The 16,106-nt window shown below is 40.4% G+C and overlaps 1 protein-coding gene across 4 annotated transcripts in view; it reads right to left on the reverse strand.

Annotated features, from left to right (window-relative positions):
• Window positions 1-16,106, reverse strand: part of GFPT1 (glutamine--fructose-6-phosphate transaminase 1) — a 67,448-nt gene that overhangs the window by 35,294 nt on the left and 16,048 nt on the right. For all 4 annotated transcript variants that reach the window (NM_002056.4, NM_001244710.2, XM_017003801.2 and 1 more), the window contains exons 3-7: window positions 14,928-15,035; window positions 8,472-8,597; window positions 4,195-4,253; window positions 3,256-3,390; window positions 1,423-1,484 (exon numbers count right to left, since the gene is read on the reverse strand). In NM_002056.4, coding sequence (NP_002047.2) covers window positions 1,423-1,484; window positions 3,256-3,390; window positions 4,195-4,253; window positions 8,472-8,597; window positions 14,928-15,035 — 490 coding nt within the window. The remainder of the gene's footprint in view (window positions 1-1,422; window positions 1,485-3,255; window positions 3,391-4,194; window positions 4,254-8,471; window positions 8,598-14,927; window positions 15,036-16,106) is intronic.

Consider the following 16,106-nt stretch of genomic DNA (forward strand, 5'->3'; position numbering starts at 1 on the left):
TTTTGTTTATTTGTTTGTTTTTTGACAACAGCCTTGCTCTGTCTCCCAGGCTAGAGTGCAGTGGCGCAATCACAGCTCACTGCAGCCTTGACCTCCTGGCCTCAAGTGATCCCCTTGCCTCAGCCTCCTGAGTAGCTGGGACTACAGGCATGCACCACCACACCCAGCTAAATTTTTTATTTTTTATAGAGATGGGATTTTGTCATGTTGCCTAGGCTGATCTGGAACTCCTGGGGTCAAGCAATCCACCCATCTCAGCCTCCCAAAGTGCTGGGATTACAGGCATGAGTCACCACGCCCAGCCTAATACAGGTTTTTGGTTTTTTTTTAATTATTTTTCTTAATTGACAAATAAAAATTGTATTAAATACAGTTATTTTGGAACATACCCATGCCCATTCTTTTACTTATTTTCTGCAGCTGCTTTCACACTACAACTGCAAAGTTGAGTAGTTGCTACAGAGGCTACATGGTCCAGAAAGCCTAAAATAGTTACTATCCGGCCCACTCCAGAAAACTTGCCAACACCTGTTCTGTAACAATGTATTTTAATTTTTTTCCTTTGTAATGTTAAAGGGAACCTTCCTTTCAATTGTGCACAGAATGCCAATATATGAAAGTGTAGCACCTTCTCCTTAGTCACCCTGTTTTCAGATTAAAAATATCTCTCTTACCATAATATCTTAGGGCGCCTCACTTAGGACTTCATGATCAGGCCTAAATATCCTAGCAAGAAGTAGTGATGGTACAATTATCTAGGAATCTGTCTAGAATATATGTTTCAAAAAATACAGAAAAAGCTAATATTTTAACTTTATTAGATAATATTCAATATCCAAATTCACAAAGTAACCTTGGTGCGCCCAACAAAGACAAAAGGCCAATTAAATGCCAAAATATATTTGCTTTCTTTTTTTTTTTTTTTTTTTTTTTTTTCAGACAGAGTCTCGCTCTGTAGGCCAGGCTGGAGTGCAGTGGCACGATCTCGGCTCACTGAAACCTCTTGCCTCCTGGGTTCAAGCGGTTCTCCTTGCCTCAGCCTCCCGAGTAGCTGGGATTACAGGCATGTGCTACCACACCCGGCTAATTTTTCTATATTTAGTAGAGACGGGGTTTCGCCATGTTGGCCTGGCTGGTCTCAAACTCCTGACCTCAGATGATCCGCCTGCCTCGACCTCCCAAAATGCTAGGATTACAGGTGTGAGCCACAGCGCCCGGCCTGTATTTGCTTTCTTCAGGGATTCTGTTAAATGGAAGAGTGGTAAGCAACAGACAAGAAGGAAGATGTGAAAATATGCTCACATGAATATATCTAATAAAGGGCAGAGCCTTTATAATAAAGGGTCATGTATAGTCTACGAAGAATAAACATGTAACTCAAATATGTTGAAATACATTAGTCATTGTTAGAGTTATATGTACCTTGTGCCAACTGCTTGCCCGGGAAAATGAACACTTTTAAACACAAGTGCAAAAGCACCTTCCTAGGGAGGGAAAAAAATCCATTAGCACTATTTAATCAATTATCAAGTCAGAAATGCCTAGAACATACTGGCTTCAGCGCAGAAATTTTTTGTTCACACAAATGCTCTTTTGTACCAGTTTATAAACAAGTCTAAAGTTTAAGTAAACACTTACTCCTAAGCTTTGGTGTATCCAAGACCCACATTTTTTTTTTTTTTTGAGATGGAGTCTCACTCTGTGACCAGGCTGGGGTGCAGTGGCACGATCTCGGCTCACTGCAACCCCCAACTCCCTGGTTCAAGTGATTCTCCTGCCTCAGCCTCCCGAGTAGCTGGGATTACAGGCACGCACCCCCACGCTAATTTTTGTATTTTTAATAGAGACAGGGTTTCACCATGTTGGCCAGGATGGTCTCCATCTCTTGACCTCGTGATCTGCCCACCTCGGCCTCCCAAAGTGCTGGGATTACAGGCGTGAGCCACCACGCGCAGCCAAGACCCACTTTTTTAACCAAGCCTACACCCAAAATATGCTCAATAGATAACAACTACAAAAATAGATCATTTAAAAAGTCATCCTTTCTACAGGCTATGAACACTTCTGAACCTATATATCCTATCTCCATCATCTACCTATCTATATCGTCATAATACTATGAATTATCAGAGGAACGACAGAATTAGAAAAGATCCTAAGATCAAAATCCAAAACCTATTCTCTGCCCTAGTAATTGTACACCACTGTTAACTTCCACTCTTTCTGACCTTGATATTAGAGATATAAATATATACAATTATTAACATGCACACCATACAACTCCATCAACCCGAATCCTCAGGGACAGAGCTTACAGGAATCAAGAACAGATAAAAGAGGAACATGAAGTAGGAGAGGGAAGAACCACCTTGGAACACAAACTGGATTATACAATGAATAAAAGGCAAAGCCTGTTAGAAACGAGAAAAGGCTGGGAAGGCACACTACTCCACTCTGCCTTGGGGAAAGGGAAGGAATAGGCCTCTACATTCTCCATCTTCCTGCTTCCTCTTTTTGCTACAGATATAAGATTTGGGTGCAGGTGGGAGAGAAGTGAGGGCTGGACCGTATTTGGGAAGTAAAGGACTTTTAAGTGGGAAAGCTAGAGTTATGAGTGGGGAAGGGAAATGTAGGTATCACTATGGATTTGGACATTTGTAGATCTTTGATGTCTTTAATCTTTAATTAGGAATGTTGGATGGAATCAAAAAGAATACTGATTTTCTCATGGGCTTGGAAATGCTTTTCTATAGAAGTTCAGAGCCAAGGGAAAGTCCCCAAAAGGAAAAATAAGTAGTTGACTTTGTTGGCTCAGAGACAAGCAGGCATTATCCCAGAAAATAAACTGTGGTAGCTGTGAAGCTACTATTGTGCTAAGTTATTGGTTGAGAAGAACACTCGGATGAGCAAGAAGCAAGGGAATAACTAATCCTCCATCGTGTGTACTGTGTACATGTCCACGTGTGGTGCATATGGATGTGTGCATATATGCATAGTTTTTAGACACACTGATTTTGGATTAATTTTCATTTTCATGACATTAAACCTGAATGAAGTAAGTAGAATTTTAAATGGAGGGTGGGGGGGAATCAATAAATCAATCAGTTTCTCAAAATTATTCAACTTGAATAGTTATATGAGAAATAAAAGCCAAAAATAAAAAAATAGCACAGTTCCTGCTTATCAAACTTAATTTCCAGAAAGTTTCTCAGCATTAATGTTGGCATAATTATCTTTAAAAATGTGGCTTAATACCAATTGTTGGATAACTCTCTCCACCAAGGTAGTAAAGCTGGTATCTTGACTTTCCCGATTGTCATACATATACTTAACGAGCTTGGCAATTGTCTCTGTGTCTGTTTCAGATTCGAAGTCATAGCCTTTGCTTTCCTGTAAGTAGAAAGAAAAAAAAGATACAATTAAAGAAATATTAATGATAAAAAAACCTTTTCTACAGAATTGTTCCGTCAAAATGCCACTAATTTCTAATATTCTTTGAACACCATATCCCATTATTCAAAATTAAAGTCACCAGCTGATCAGTGACTCTAAAACAGTGTGGGACTCTGTTTAACTGAACATACACTTAACTTACTGTCTAATAAATAGCCATTAGCTGTATGTGGCTATTTCAATTTAATTAAAATTAAATAAAATTTAAAATTCAGTTCCTCAGTCATACTAGCTCAACAACCACATGTGGACAGTGGCTACTATACTGAATAGCCCAGATACACTGTCTTCCAACACTGGAGAAAGTTCAATTGAACAGCCCTAAGAAAGCACTCATGCAGGTCAGCACTATGACCACTACTATACAGTATATAGCTATTTACGACATAAAACTTTCATTTAATTTGTCCTGATTCTTCTTGTATTAATATATCCTAGGAACTTTAAAGCATGACAATCTCTCAGAATGCAAAAAATGTCTCCACAAAATTCCAATTTTATTTGAGCCTTTTGTCATGTATATTACAGTCAAATGCTAATCATTTCCTTTTCATATTAAAAAACACAATTGTTCCACTGTTAGCAAAGAAAAATCCAATAAACCACCGTGCCCTTGGAATTGTCCAAGAAATTAATTGATGACACACATATGGTGTTTGTTGCACATCCCAACAACCGACCCCAGTGCTCTCGTTAGAAGTATTCTCAAAGACTGGGGTCTTTTGAGGTCACCTTACTTACCAAAAACTTTTTCAAGTCTTTGTAGTTGGTGATGATTCCATTGTGAATAACGATAAATTCTAAAAGAGGTAAAAGTGTTGAAGACAAAAAAGTTAGAAGTATGATAAATCTAAAATAGCTATTACTCTAACTGGATTTTTCTCAAGTCAAAAATTTTTAACATGCTATATACTATTTATGTTATTTATAACATAATTACATCTACTTCTCATTTACCAGATTATCATCAGGTAGATCAGCAGCATTGTTTATGTGGCATAGCTGAAGCAAACAGTGCAGGGGAGGTGGGTACAGTAGGGAAATAAACAGGAAGTCTAGAGATAACAATTTCAGTTGTGGCTAAACTAGTAATCAAATGTTACCCATGTGAAAGGAGCAAGTTTATTGGGTCTGTTGCCTCATTTGCAAAATGAGAGAGCTGAACTAAATATTCTTCTTATTTCTCTGTTCATTCATTCTTGAGTAAAAGTTTAAAGAGAAGTCCTTTCAAACTAAAACAATAATCTGATTTACACTAAATGAATTTAAGAACTAGAACTAAGGAATTTGCTAAGAAAAACCAATCAGTTCCATAGTTAAATTTACTTGTTTGAGATCCAAATAAGTCATAGAATGTCAGAAACATAAATGTTAAAATATCATTCCAAGAGAAAATAGACATGATCTCGGGATAATTTTCATCTTTTTTAACTAATTTTGAAAACTGTAAGAACAGATAATCAAGAGTTGACAATATCATTATTTGTAGCGACTGCTGGTACATAAAAACTACCAATCCGGCTGAGCACGGTGGCTCATGCCTGTAATCCCAGCACTTTAAGAGGTCGAGATGGGCAGACCACCTGAGGTCAGGAGTTTGAGACCATCCTGTTCAACATGGCGAAACCCTGTCTCTACTAAAAATACAAAACATTAGCCAGGCGTGGTGGCACGTGCCTGTAAACCCAGCTACTTGGGAGGCTGAGGCAGGAGAATCGCTTGAATCTGGGAGGCAGAGGTTGCAGTGAGCCGAGATCCCACCACTGCATTCCAGCCTGGGCAACAGAGTGAGATTCTGTCTCAAAAAAAAAAAAAAAAAAAAAAATCCTACCAATCCTGGATTTATTATTCAGAGTTCATTTCAGTTAGGAGAAAAATTACTGCTAAATTAAATTTTATATGAAATTATCAAAATATTTTTTTTTTTTTTGGAGACACGATGTTGCTCTGTCACCAAGCTGGAGTACAGTGGCTCAATCATGACTCACTGCAGCCTTAAACTCCTGGGCTCAGGTGATTCTTCCACATCAGCCTTCCAAGCAGCTGGGATTACAGCTGCTTACACCACACTCAACTAATTTTTTTATTTTTCTGTAGAGAGAGTCTCGCTATGTTGCCCAGGCTAGTCTCCTGAGCTGAAGCAATCCTCCCACTTCATCCTTCCAGTGTCTTGAGATTACAGACATGAGCCACTATGCCAGGCCAAAATGTTCTTTTTCCTTTTCTGAGACAAAGTCTTGCTCTGTCACCCAGACTGGAGTGAAGTGGCACGATCTCGGCTCACTGCAACCTCCACCTCTTGGGTTCCAGCGATTCTCCTGGCTCAGCCTCTCAAGTAGCTGGGATTACAGGTGCATGCCACCATACCCAGCTAATTTTTGTATTTTTAATAGAGACGGGGTTTTGCCATATTGGTCAGGCTGGTCTCCAACTCCTAATTTCAGGTGATCCACCTGCCTTGGCCTCCCAAAGTGCTAGGATTACAGGCATGAGTCACCACACCCGGCCCCCAACAATGTTCTTAATATACATAAAGATCTGATATTTTGGCTGACAGTAATTAGAAACCAAATAATAAACATTTTCACTAGATTTTTTAGAGATGATAGCAACCACAAAAATAAATTTATAAAAAAACTTGCCGGGTGCGGTGGCTCATGCCTGTAATCCCAGCATTCTGGGGGGCTGAGATAGATGGATCACCTGAGCTCAGGAGTTCGAGACCAGCCTAGCCAACATGGTGAAACCTTGTCTCTACTAAAAATACAAAAAATTGCCAGGCGTGGTGTCAGGCGCCTGTAATTCCAGCTACTTGGGAGGCTTGAGGCAGAAGAATCGCTGAATCCAGGAGGCAGAGGTTGCAGTGAGCGGAAAGCATGCCATTGCACTCCAGCCTTGGAGAAAGAGCGAGATTCCTTCTCAAAAAAAAAAAAAAAAAAAAACTTCATGCTAGAACAAAGAGATTAATAAACAGCTAATTTAAAGGTCTTAACTTAAAGCCAAATTCTCAAAACATAATCTAGATGTAAGTTTTCGGGAATCTTTCATAAAGGCCTTGTCAGTGTCAAAAGTCTAAATTATTGCTAGCATTATGATCAAATTCAACAGTAAGTATTGAAGCACAAGAAGCCTAAATAGGCAGCTTCTGAATTAAACTAAAAATCAGCAAGGGCTGGGTGCAGTGGTTCATGCCTGTAATCTCAGCACTTTGGGAGGCTGAGGTGGGAAGATTACTTGAGTCCAGAAATTTGTAACCAGCCTGAGCAACAAAGCAAGACCCCTATCTCTACAAAAATAAAATAAATTAGCTGGGTGTGGTGGTGCAAGCCTGTGATCCTAGCTACTCAGGAGGCTGAGGCAGGAAGATCACTTGTGCCCAAGAATTTGAGGTTACAGTGAGCTATGATCCCACCACTGTACCCAGCCTGGGTGGAGGAGTGAGACCCTGTCTCTAAAATAAAAGGAAAAAAAATGGGGAGGGATAAATACACACATACACACTTTTGTATGTATTCTGTATGTATTTGCTTATTTTTTTTAAATGAAAGAACAGACTCAATAATTGGTGAATGTTACCTACGAGGGGAATAAGAGGAAACAGAAGAGTCTAGACTTGTTTTGTTGAGACAGTCTCACTCTGTCACCCAGGCTGAAGTGCAATGGGGCAATCATGGCTCACTGCAGCCTCAACCCCCAGGTTCAGGTGATCCTCCTGCCTTAGCCTCCTGAGTAGCTGGGACTATGGGCGCATGCCACCATCAAGCTAATTTTTGTATTTTCTGTAGGCACAGGATTTTGCCATGTTGCTCAGGCTGGTCTCAAACTCCTGGGCTCAGGCAATCCCTCCATCTCAGCCTTCCAAAGTGCTGGGTAGACTTCTTTTAGTGTGTCTTATTTTAAAGATGTGACTTCGGAATTATGTAAATATTTTAAATAATTATAAATAACATTTATTTTTAAAGAATATCAATCCTTAAAAATAAAAAATAGGACAGGTACAGTGGCTCACTCCTGTAATCCCAGCACTTTAGGAGGCTGAGGTGGGCGGATCACAAGGTCAGGAGATCGAGACCATCCTGGCTAATACAGTGAAATGCCGTCTCTACTAAAAATACAAAAAATTACCCGGGTGTAGTGGCACACACCTGTAGTCCCAGCTACTTGGGAGGCTGAGGCAGGAGAATTGCTTGAACCTGGAAGGTGGAGGTTGCAGTGAGCCGATATCGCACCACTGCACTCCAGCCTGGGCGACACAGCGAGACTTGGTCTCAAAAAATAATAATAAAAATAAAAAAAATGTTTCTAAAACATATTAAAGTAACACGTAGCACAACTGCATGGAGAAAGACTATTCCAAGTAACTCTAAAACACAGTAATTTGATTATACATTTCTAGAGAGATATGCCCTAAGGACAAAACCAATAACAAAAGTTCTCAGCCAGGAGCAGTGGTTCATGCCTATAATCCCAGCACTTTGGGAGGCCGAGACGGGAGGATCACTTGAGGTCAGGAGTTCAAGACCAGCCTGGTCAACACAGTGAAACCCCGTCTCTACTAAAAATACAAAAATTAGCCAGGCATGGTGGACAGACAGGGTCTCATTCTGTTGTCCAGGTTGGAGGGCAATGGCATGAGGTGTGACCACGGCTCACTGCAGCCTCTACCTCCTGGGCTTAAACGATCCTCCCACCTCAGTCTCCCGAGTAGCTGAGACTACAAGCATGCACCACAATGCCTAACTTATTTTTTTATTTTTTGTAGAGACAGGGTCTCACTATGTTGCCACGGCTGATCGTGAACTCCTGGACTCAAGCAATCCTCCCAACTCAGGCTCCCAAAGTGCTGGGATTACAGGCATGAGCCAGCACTCTCAGCTCCATATGCTCTCTACTACTTCTGAATGTTTGAAATTTTCCAGATGAAAAATTATTAAAATAATGAAAATCTAAAAGCCTTCATTCTGCCCCCATTATTAGGTTTCCACAATCATTCCAAAGCACAAAAAATCTTTCCATACCATTATTTTTATCAGAGCGCTGGGGGTGGCTATTGACAGGACTGGGTTCTCCATGTGTTGCCCAACGGGTATGAGCTATTCCAAGGTGTACATCAAATTCTATATCCAAATCCATATCTTGTTGCTCTGAAGAATATGAAAAGAAAAATTTCAATATTAAATCATGCTGCAGAGATAATGCTATAAGCTATATTTAAATACAATTATTACAATGCTGCTCTCTTGGAATATACAATCACTGAAACTAAAGATCAGGCATATTCAAAATAGTGATTAAAAGACTTAGGAGGCAGGGTGCAGTGGCTCACGCCCGTAATCCCAGCACTGTGGGAGGCCGAGGCAGGTGGATCACCTGAGGTCAGGAGTTCAAGACCAGTCTGGCCAACATGGGGAAACCCCATCTCTACTAAAAATACAAAAATTGGCCAGGCATGGTGGCACGCGCCTGTAGTCCTGGCTACTCCGGAGGCAGAGGCAGGATATTCGCCTGAACCCAGGAGGCAGAGGTTGCAGTGAGCTGAGATCATGCCACTGCACTCCAGCCTGGGCAACAGAGCGAGACTCCATCTCAAAAAAAAAAAAAAAAGACTTAGGAACACATTGTACGTCTGTATCAAGACATCTCATGTACCCAGTAAGTTTACACACCTACTATATACCCACAAAAATTAAAAATAAAGATAAATAAAGATTTAGGAGTTTATGCAACTGAAATATTGAAGGCAAATGGTTTCAATAACAACCAAAAAACTAATACAGAGTTAAAGCAAACATGACAAAATTTTAATAACAGATAAAGTTAGGTGAAGTATATATAGGTAATAATGTACTATTCTTTCAAGTTTCCTGGAGATACAAATACTCAAGAGTTAAGGACAAAAACAATTAATGTAATCTTTTAAATCTATATTTAATTCTTGCCTTAAAAAGTCATTATCAATTTAATTAAACATGTAAAAATAAATTCATTTTCCCAATGACACACAACCTTATGACTGCAATTTCTTTGGTCTCTGGTGAGTGTACACACGTCTCACAATAGAAACTGCAACTATGGAGTGCCTCCAAAATCAAATAGGTATTTAAGAACCGAGCAATGCTATGAAAGTATGGGGCTACTGGGAAATCGGCATAGGCCAATGTTCCTTTATCTTGAAAAGTAGCTGATTTGTCCAGATGTGGTGGCTCATGCCTGTAATCCCAGCACTTCGGGAGGCAGAGGCGGGTGGGACACAAGGTCAGGAGTCCAAGACCAGCCTTACCAACATGGTGAAACCCTGTCTCTACTAAAACTACAAAAATTAGCCGGGTGTGGTGGTGCGCGCCTGTAATCCCAGCTACTCGGGAGGTTGAGGCAGGAGAATCGCTTGAACCCAGGAGGTAGAGGTTACAGTGAGCTGAGATCACATCACTGCACTCCAGCCTGGGTGACAGAGCGAGACTCCCTCTCAAAAAAAAAAAAAAAAAAAAAAAAAAGAAGTAGCTGATTCTTATTTTTCATATAAGCTATCTTTTCTTGGGGTTTCTTAAAAAAATGGACAGCTCCAGTTATTAACTAGTAATGCTCTTAATTTCCTAAATATAAAATTAATTTGGCTAAGAACCCAGATAACAAAGTTTATCAGAGTTAGGTCTAAATTAAGAGCAAACTGGCCGAGCACCACGGCTCATGCCTGTAATCCCAGCACTTTGGGAGGCTGAGGCAGGTGGATCACCAGAGGTCAGGAGTTTAAGACCAGCCTGGCCAACATGGTGAAACCCTGTCTCTACTGAAAAAATTAGCTGGGCGTGGTAGCACACGCCTGTAATCCCAGCTACTCAGGAGGCTGAGGTAGGAGAATCAATTGAACCCAGGAAGGGGAAGCTGCAGTGAGCTGAGATCATGCCACTGCCCTCCAGCCTGGGCGAAAGAGCAAGACTCCGTCTCAAAAATAAGTAAATAAATAAATAAATAAAACCACAATGGTATATTCTATTGTACTATAACATTTATATGTTGTCAACCTAGCTTCCACCAGAATTTGAGTTCTACAAAAACAGCAGCCTACCTTATTATTTTTGAATCCTAAGCACTAAAAGGTATACATGGCAGATACCTTTTTGTTGGATGGCTCAATCTATCAATGAATAAACTCAGGCATCTATTCTTTCCTGGCTTAACTGTGTTCTAAGTAATTAAGGCAACCTGATAAATGACCTCAAGAAAAATACCATTTACCATTATTCAACAGGCCAATGCAAGAAATGAAAACATCTTTGACTACTTTTTTTATTTTTTTTTTGAAACGGAGTTTTGCTCTTGTGCCCAAGCTGGAGTAAGTACAATGGCGCAATCTTGGCTCACTGCAACCTCTCCCTCCCGGGTTCAAGCGATTCTCCTATCTCAGCCTCCTGAGTAGCTGGGATTACAGGCACGCACCACCACGCCTGGCTAATTTTTTGTATTTTTAGTACAGACAGGGTTTCACCATGTTGGCCAGGCTGGTCTCGAACTCCTGACCTCAGGTGATCCGCCCACCTCAACCTCCCAAAGTGCTGGGATTACAGGCGTGAGCCACCACGCCTGGCCTCTTTGACAACTTTTTTAAGCTAACTATAATTAAAGCAGTATCTCCTTGCACATGCTGGCAGGCAATACTGGAGAAAGTCACAAGATTCTATATATTGAATCCATTTCAAATTCATGATAATTACCACACCTTTATTTCACTGTTGCTGTAGGAACATTACCGAATGTCTAGTAAGAAAAAATTATTGCTATGACAATAAGCACATTTCTCATAATAAATATTTCCTGTCATATAAATTAATCATGACTTTGAATCCTTGACGCTTCCTTATTGTCTGTTACCCATTTTAAAGCCCTTTGCTGAATCTTAAGTCTAGATTAACCCCCACACTCGGTTTCTCTTCTCCCATCTACTGCCAAGCAATACTGAAGAAAGTCAGAAAATTCTGTAAATTAAGACCCTTTCAAATTCACATATCTATTTCACTGTTGCTACCTAAGAAACATGTATCCAAGTTCCTTATTCATTAAACTGATAGCTCAATCCAGTTCCCTGACAGTTCATCATATCTTTTCTATTCTCCATAAAGCTCAATCCTACCTGCAATCCCTCAATTTCCACTTTACTCAGCTTTTGTCCTCTCACCTGGTAATTATCTGCTTTAAGTTTGTCTTTCATCTTTGATTCCTAAAGTACACTTTTTCCTTTAAAGGCTAACTCCTTGCCTGTGCCTTGATCTTCTTGGGCCGTAGTGCTTCAATAATTTCCTCATTTGCATCTTCTATCTTACCCTACCTCTACTCCCATGGCTCCTTGCCCTCTGCCTGCCTTTTCTCAGATGTCATCTTCCCTTTTCAAAAAAAATACTTCAAACATATTTAAATTTGCTGGGAATAATGAACACCCAACTACCCATACTCAGAGTTAACAAAACATCTAGTCATCTGTGCTTTACATATTTTTTAAGATCTAAAATGTAAAAAATCAGTGTGGTATATGGAAACTTGAAATAAATAAATGTAAAAAATGCAGTTGATAACCTCCTTTATATCCCCATCCCATTCACTTACTCCTCAGAAGATTTTCAAGTTGACACAGTCTTACTATTCATGCCTTTTAAACTATGATTATGTTAACATGAGACCATAAATGATAGTACCGTTTTGTGTTTTTAAATGTCCTATACTTTACATACCAGGAATTATCCATGTTCCCATATGCAGAACCAGATTCAGTACACTTCTTTCAAAAGCTACATATGCTCATTCACTATCATATACAACTTATTTTTTGTTGTTGTTGTTGTTGTTGTTGTTGTTTTGTGGAGACGGAGTCTCACTCTGTCACCCAGGCTGGAGTGCAGTGGCACGATCTCAGCTCACTGCAACCTCCGCCTCCTGGATTCAAGTGATTCTCCTGCCTCAGCCTCCCGAATAGCTGGAACTACAGGTGCACGCCGCCACACCCGGCTAATTTTTTGTATTTTAGTAGAGATGGGGTTTCACCATGTTGCCCAGGCTGGTCTCAAACACCAGAGCTCAGGCAATCCGCCCACCTCGGCCTCCCAAAGTGCCAGGATTACAAGCGTGAGCCACCACGCCCGGCACACACAACTTATTATATCATCCCATTCCCTTACTTATAGACATTTAGGCTGTTTCTAAATTTTGCAACAGTGAATCTTGTTGTCATGTCACCTTGTTCACTGTGTTTCCTTCAAGTATATATCCAAGAGTGGAAGTGCTTAGTCTCAGGTTATAGGCATTTCCCATGTAGATATGGCCAGATTGCTCTTTAAAGTGATTTACCAGTTACAAATTCACCAGCAATATCTACAAGTTTCCATTTGTAGATAATAAATTCAATCAATACTTATTTTGCATGTATTGCAGGGTAAGATTAGCTAGGGGTTGGCCAGGTGCAGTGGTTCAAGCCTGTAATTCTAGCACTTTGGGAGGTCAAAGAGGGTGGATCGCCTGAGGTCAGGAGTTCAAGACCAGCCTGGCCAACATGGCAAAACCCCGTCTCTACTAAAAATACAAAAATTAGCAAGGTGTGGTGGCTCACGCCTGCAATCCCAGCACTTGGGAGGCCAAGGCGGGCAGATCACGAGGTCAGGAGATCGAGACTATCCTGGCTAACATGGTGAAACCCCATCTCTACTAAAAATACGAAATAATTAGCCAGGCGTTGTGGCGGGCGCCTGTGGTCCCAGCTACTCAGGAGGCTGAGGCAGGAGAATGGCGTGAACCAGGAAGCAGAGGTTGCAGTGAACCGAGATTGTGTCACTACACTCCAGCCTGTGCAACAGACCAAGAGTCCATCTTAAAAAAAAATTAGCTGTGAGTAAAGTAGACACTCAGATAACTACACTTCAAAAACAAACCAGTTGGCCAGGCTCAGTGGCTAATGCCTGTAATCCCACTACTTTGAGAGGCCGAGGCAGGCGAATCACTTGAGGTCAGGAGTTCAAGACCAGCCTGGCCAATATGGTGAAACCCCATCTCTACCAAAAATACAAAAATTAGCCGGGCATGATGGCACACGCCTGGTAATCCCAGCCACTCGGGAGTCTGAAACAGGAGAATCGCTTGAATCTGGGAGGCAGAAGTTGCAGTGAACCAAGATTGCACCATTGCACTCCAGCCTGGGCGTTACAGCGAGACTCCATCTGGGAAGGGAAGAAAAAAAAAAAAAAGTTGACCACGAAGAGGCATGTTTCAATATGCTGACATTGAAAAATGGTGATTCTGTTCACAATCTGCCTTTCTAGCCTCCCTTATTTGTCTACCAATACTGTAAATAAAAAGGACTACTATCATTCCATCAACACGCCTGCCATTACTCTTCTTATCTTGCTATGCTATCTACTCAGAAGGTCCTCCCTTCACATCTTCACTGACCAAATATAATCAGCACCCATTCCCTATGTATTCCCAGTCTCGTCAACTTGTGGGAACTCTCCCCTGAATCTCACAGCAATGTCTGTTCTCTCCTACAGAACCTGCTACAATCAGCCTGGTATACAGGATGCAGAACACATAGTAGATATTTATACTACTGTTTTTGAAGTATAGTTATTTGGGTGTCTGCTTTACCCCTAGCTAATCTTACACTACAATACAGGCAAAATAAGTATTGATTTAATTCGTTAAACAAGTACTACAGAGCTAAACGTATGGCTTATGTGGGAAAAAAAAAAGACAAAATCCATCATTTTCCTCTACCTGTACTCTTTTACAATGATTATGATGGCATTCATATGAGTAGGTACATAAAATACTTGCGGTTTCCTGGGTTTTGTGGAGAATTTTAAAAATATTTTTTCAATCAATCTACTTCAAAGTTTGCTTTGTTTTCAAGTTTCTTGTGAAAAAAATAAAATGTGTAAGAATAATGTTATGATCTAAATACTGAGAAGTAAATCCTCTTTGATGGGGCATACATCTCTGACAACTCCTTGTGCCAGAGAAGAAAACTGTGAGGGAAAACATGATACTTACCAGATTATATCAGACCTATTCAAAGGTGCAATGTCAAAATTGACTACATCCAAGCTAGGCATTTAATCCAAAGTGAAGACAATTAGCAAGTGAAGACATGTGTAAAAGGGCATCACTAAAAATACCTTTTGTCTTATGAAAAGCTCTTCCTCAGGAATGGTGGCTCTGAAGATACTTCATTTAATATTCAGAGCTTACACTGAAGGTAATATACCTAACTAATTTCCTTCCCTAGTTGCAATGATTATTTTTCAGGCTCAGGTACATTTTAAAACTAGTCCAGACAGTAACAAAACTACTTTTCTTTCCTCCCTTCAATGTTACAGACCATTATCATTAAAATTGGTCCCAAAATATGGGGGGAGGGAGTAACTTAGAGGAGAATGGGGAGGGGAAAAGGAAGAGAAGGGGAAAGGGGACAAAAATCAAATTAAGTACGTTACTGTGAACTTCTTCATCCAGTGCCTTAACTTTTCCTTTCTTCTTAATAAGCTGGATTTTGCAGGCATTGGCTTCCCAATCTTTATCATTGCCTCCATCAAATCCCACACCTAAACCATCATGAGGTAAAAAAGCAAAATTTAGAAACTGGCTACTGATAAAATTATTAATGTGAGGCAAAATTTTTAATTAAAAAATACATTCTCATCTAATTAATTCACTAATGTATTAATTCAATTACCTACTGAAAACCTATTGTGTGTCAAGAACCAGGATAGCTGCTAGACACAAAAACAAAAATAACTCCATTCCTGTCCTCAAATTTCTAAGTCTATCGAGAAGACAGACAAGGAAAAAATAATTCAGCGTGATTATGAATTATAATAAAAATACTACAGGTTACAATTGGGATACAATGGAGAAATGCAAAAGATGGGCACCCACCTCAGAAGGTAGCTAAGGAAAGAAGGTCACAGAATACATCTCTTAAGAGTCTCCTTAAGTTGCTAAGGAATTTGAAAAAGCTACCCTGAAGATACTGGGAAAACACTGTCCTTTAAGCAGAGAAGTGATTCGGCAAAAATGTTTAGCAAAGCCCTTCTAGAAACAAGTGTAGGGAAAGAACTGGAGGGAGAGAAACGGAAGGAAGAAACCAGCTGTCAAAAGCTACAGCTACAGCAAAGCAAAAATGAAGAGGACCTGAACTAAACAGTGGTAATGCAGACAGAAATAAATGATATTGAAAAGTGGAACTGACTGAATGTAAGTGAGAAAGCAGGAGAAGTGTGGAATACCTCAAAGGACTTGTTGAATGGCTTGAAGGACTTGTTGAATGATTCTCAATAAAAGGGACATAGAAAAACAGAGTGGGCATGCCTGTAATCCCAGCTACTTGGGAGGCTGAGGCAGGAGAATGGCTTGAACCCGAGAGGTGGAGGTTGCAGTGAGCTGAGATCACACCACTGCATTCCAGCCTGGGCGACAGAGTGAGATTCATCTCAAAAACAAACAAACAAAAAACAGGGTGGGGAGCAGGGTGAGGACTGCAATGTATTCAGCTTATTTTTCTTTTCTTTTCTTTTTTTTTTTTTTTTTTGAGACAGGTTCTTGCTCTGTCGCCCAGGATGGAGGGCAGTGGCGCAATCTCAGCTCCCTGCAACCTCTGCCTCCCAGGTTCAGCA

The sequence above is a fragment of the Homo sapiens genome, chromosome 2 (assembly GCF_000001405.40).
Source record: "Homo sapiens chromosome 2, GRCh38.p14 Primary Assembly".
NCBI classification, from domain to species: domain Eukaryota; kingdom Metazoa; phylum Chordata; class Mammalia; order Primates; family Hominidae; genus Homo; species Homo sapiens.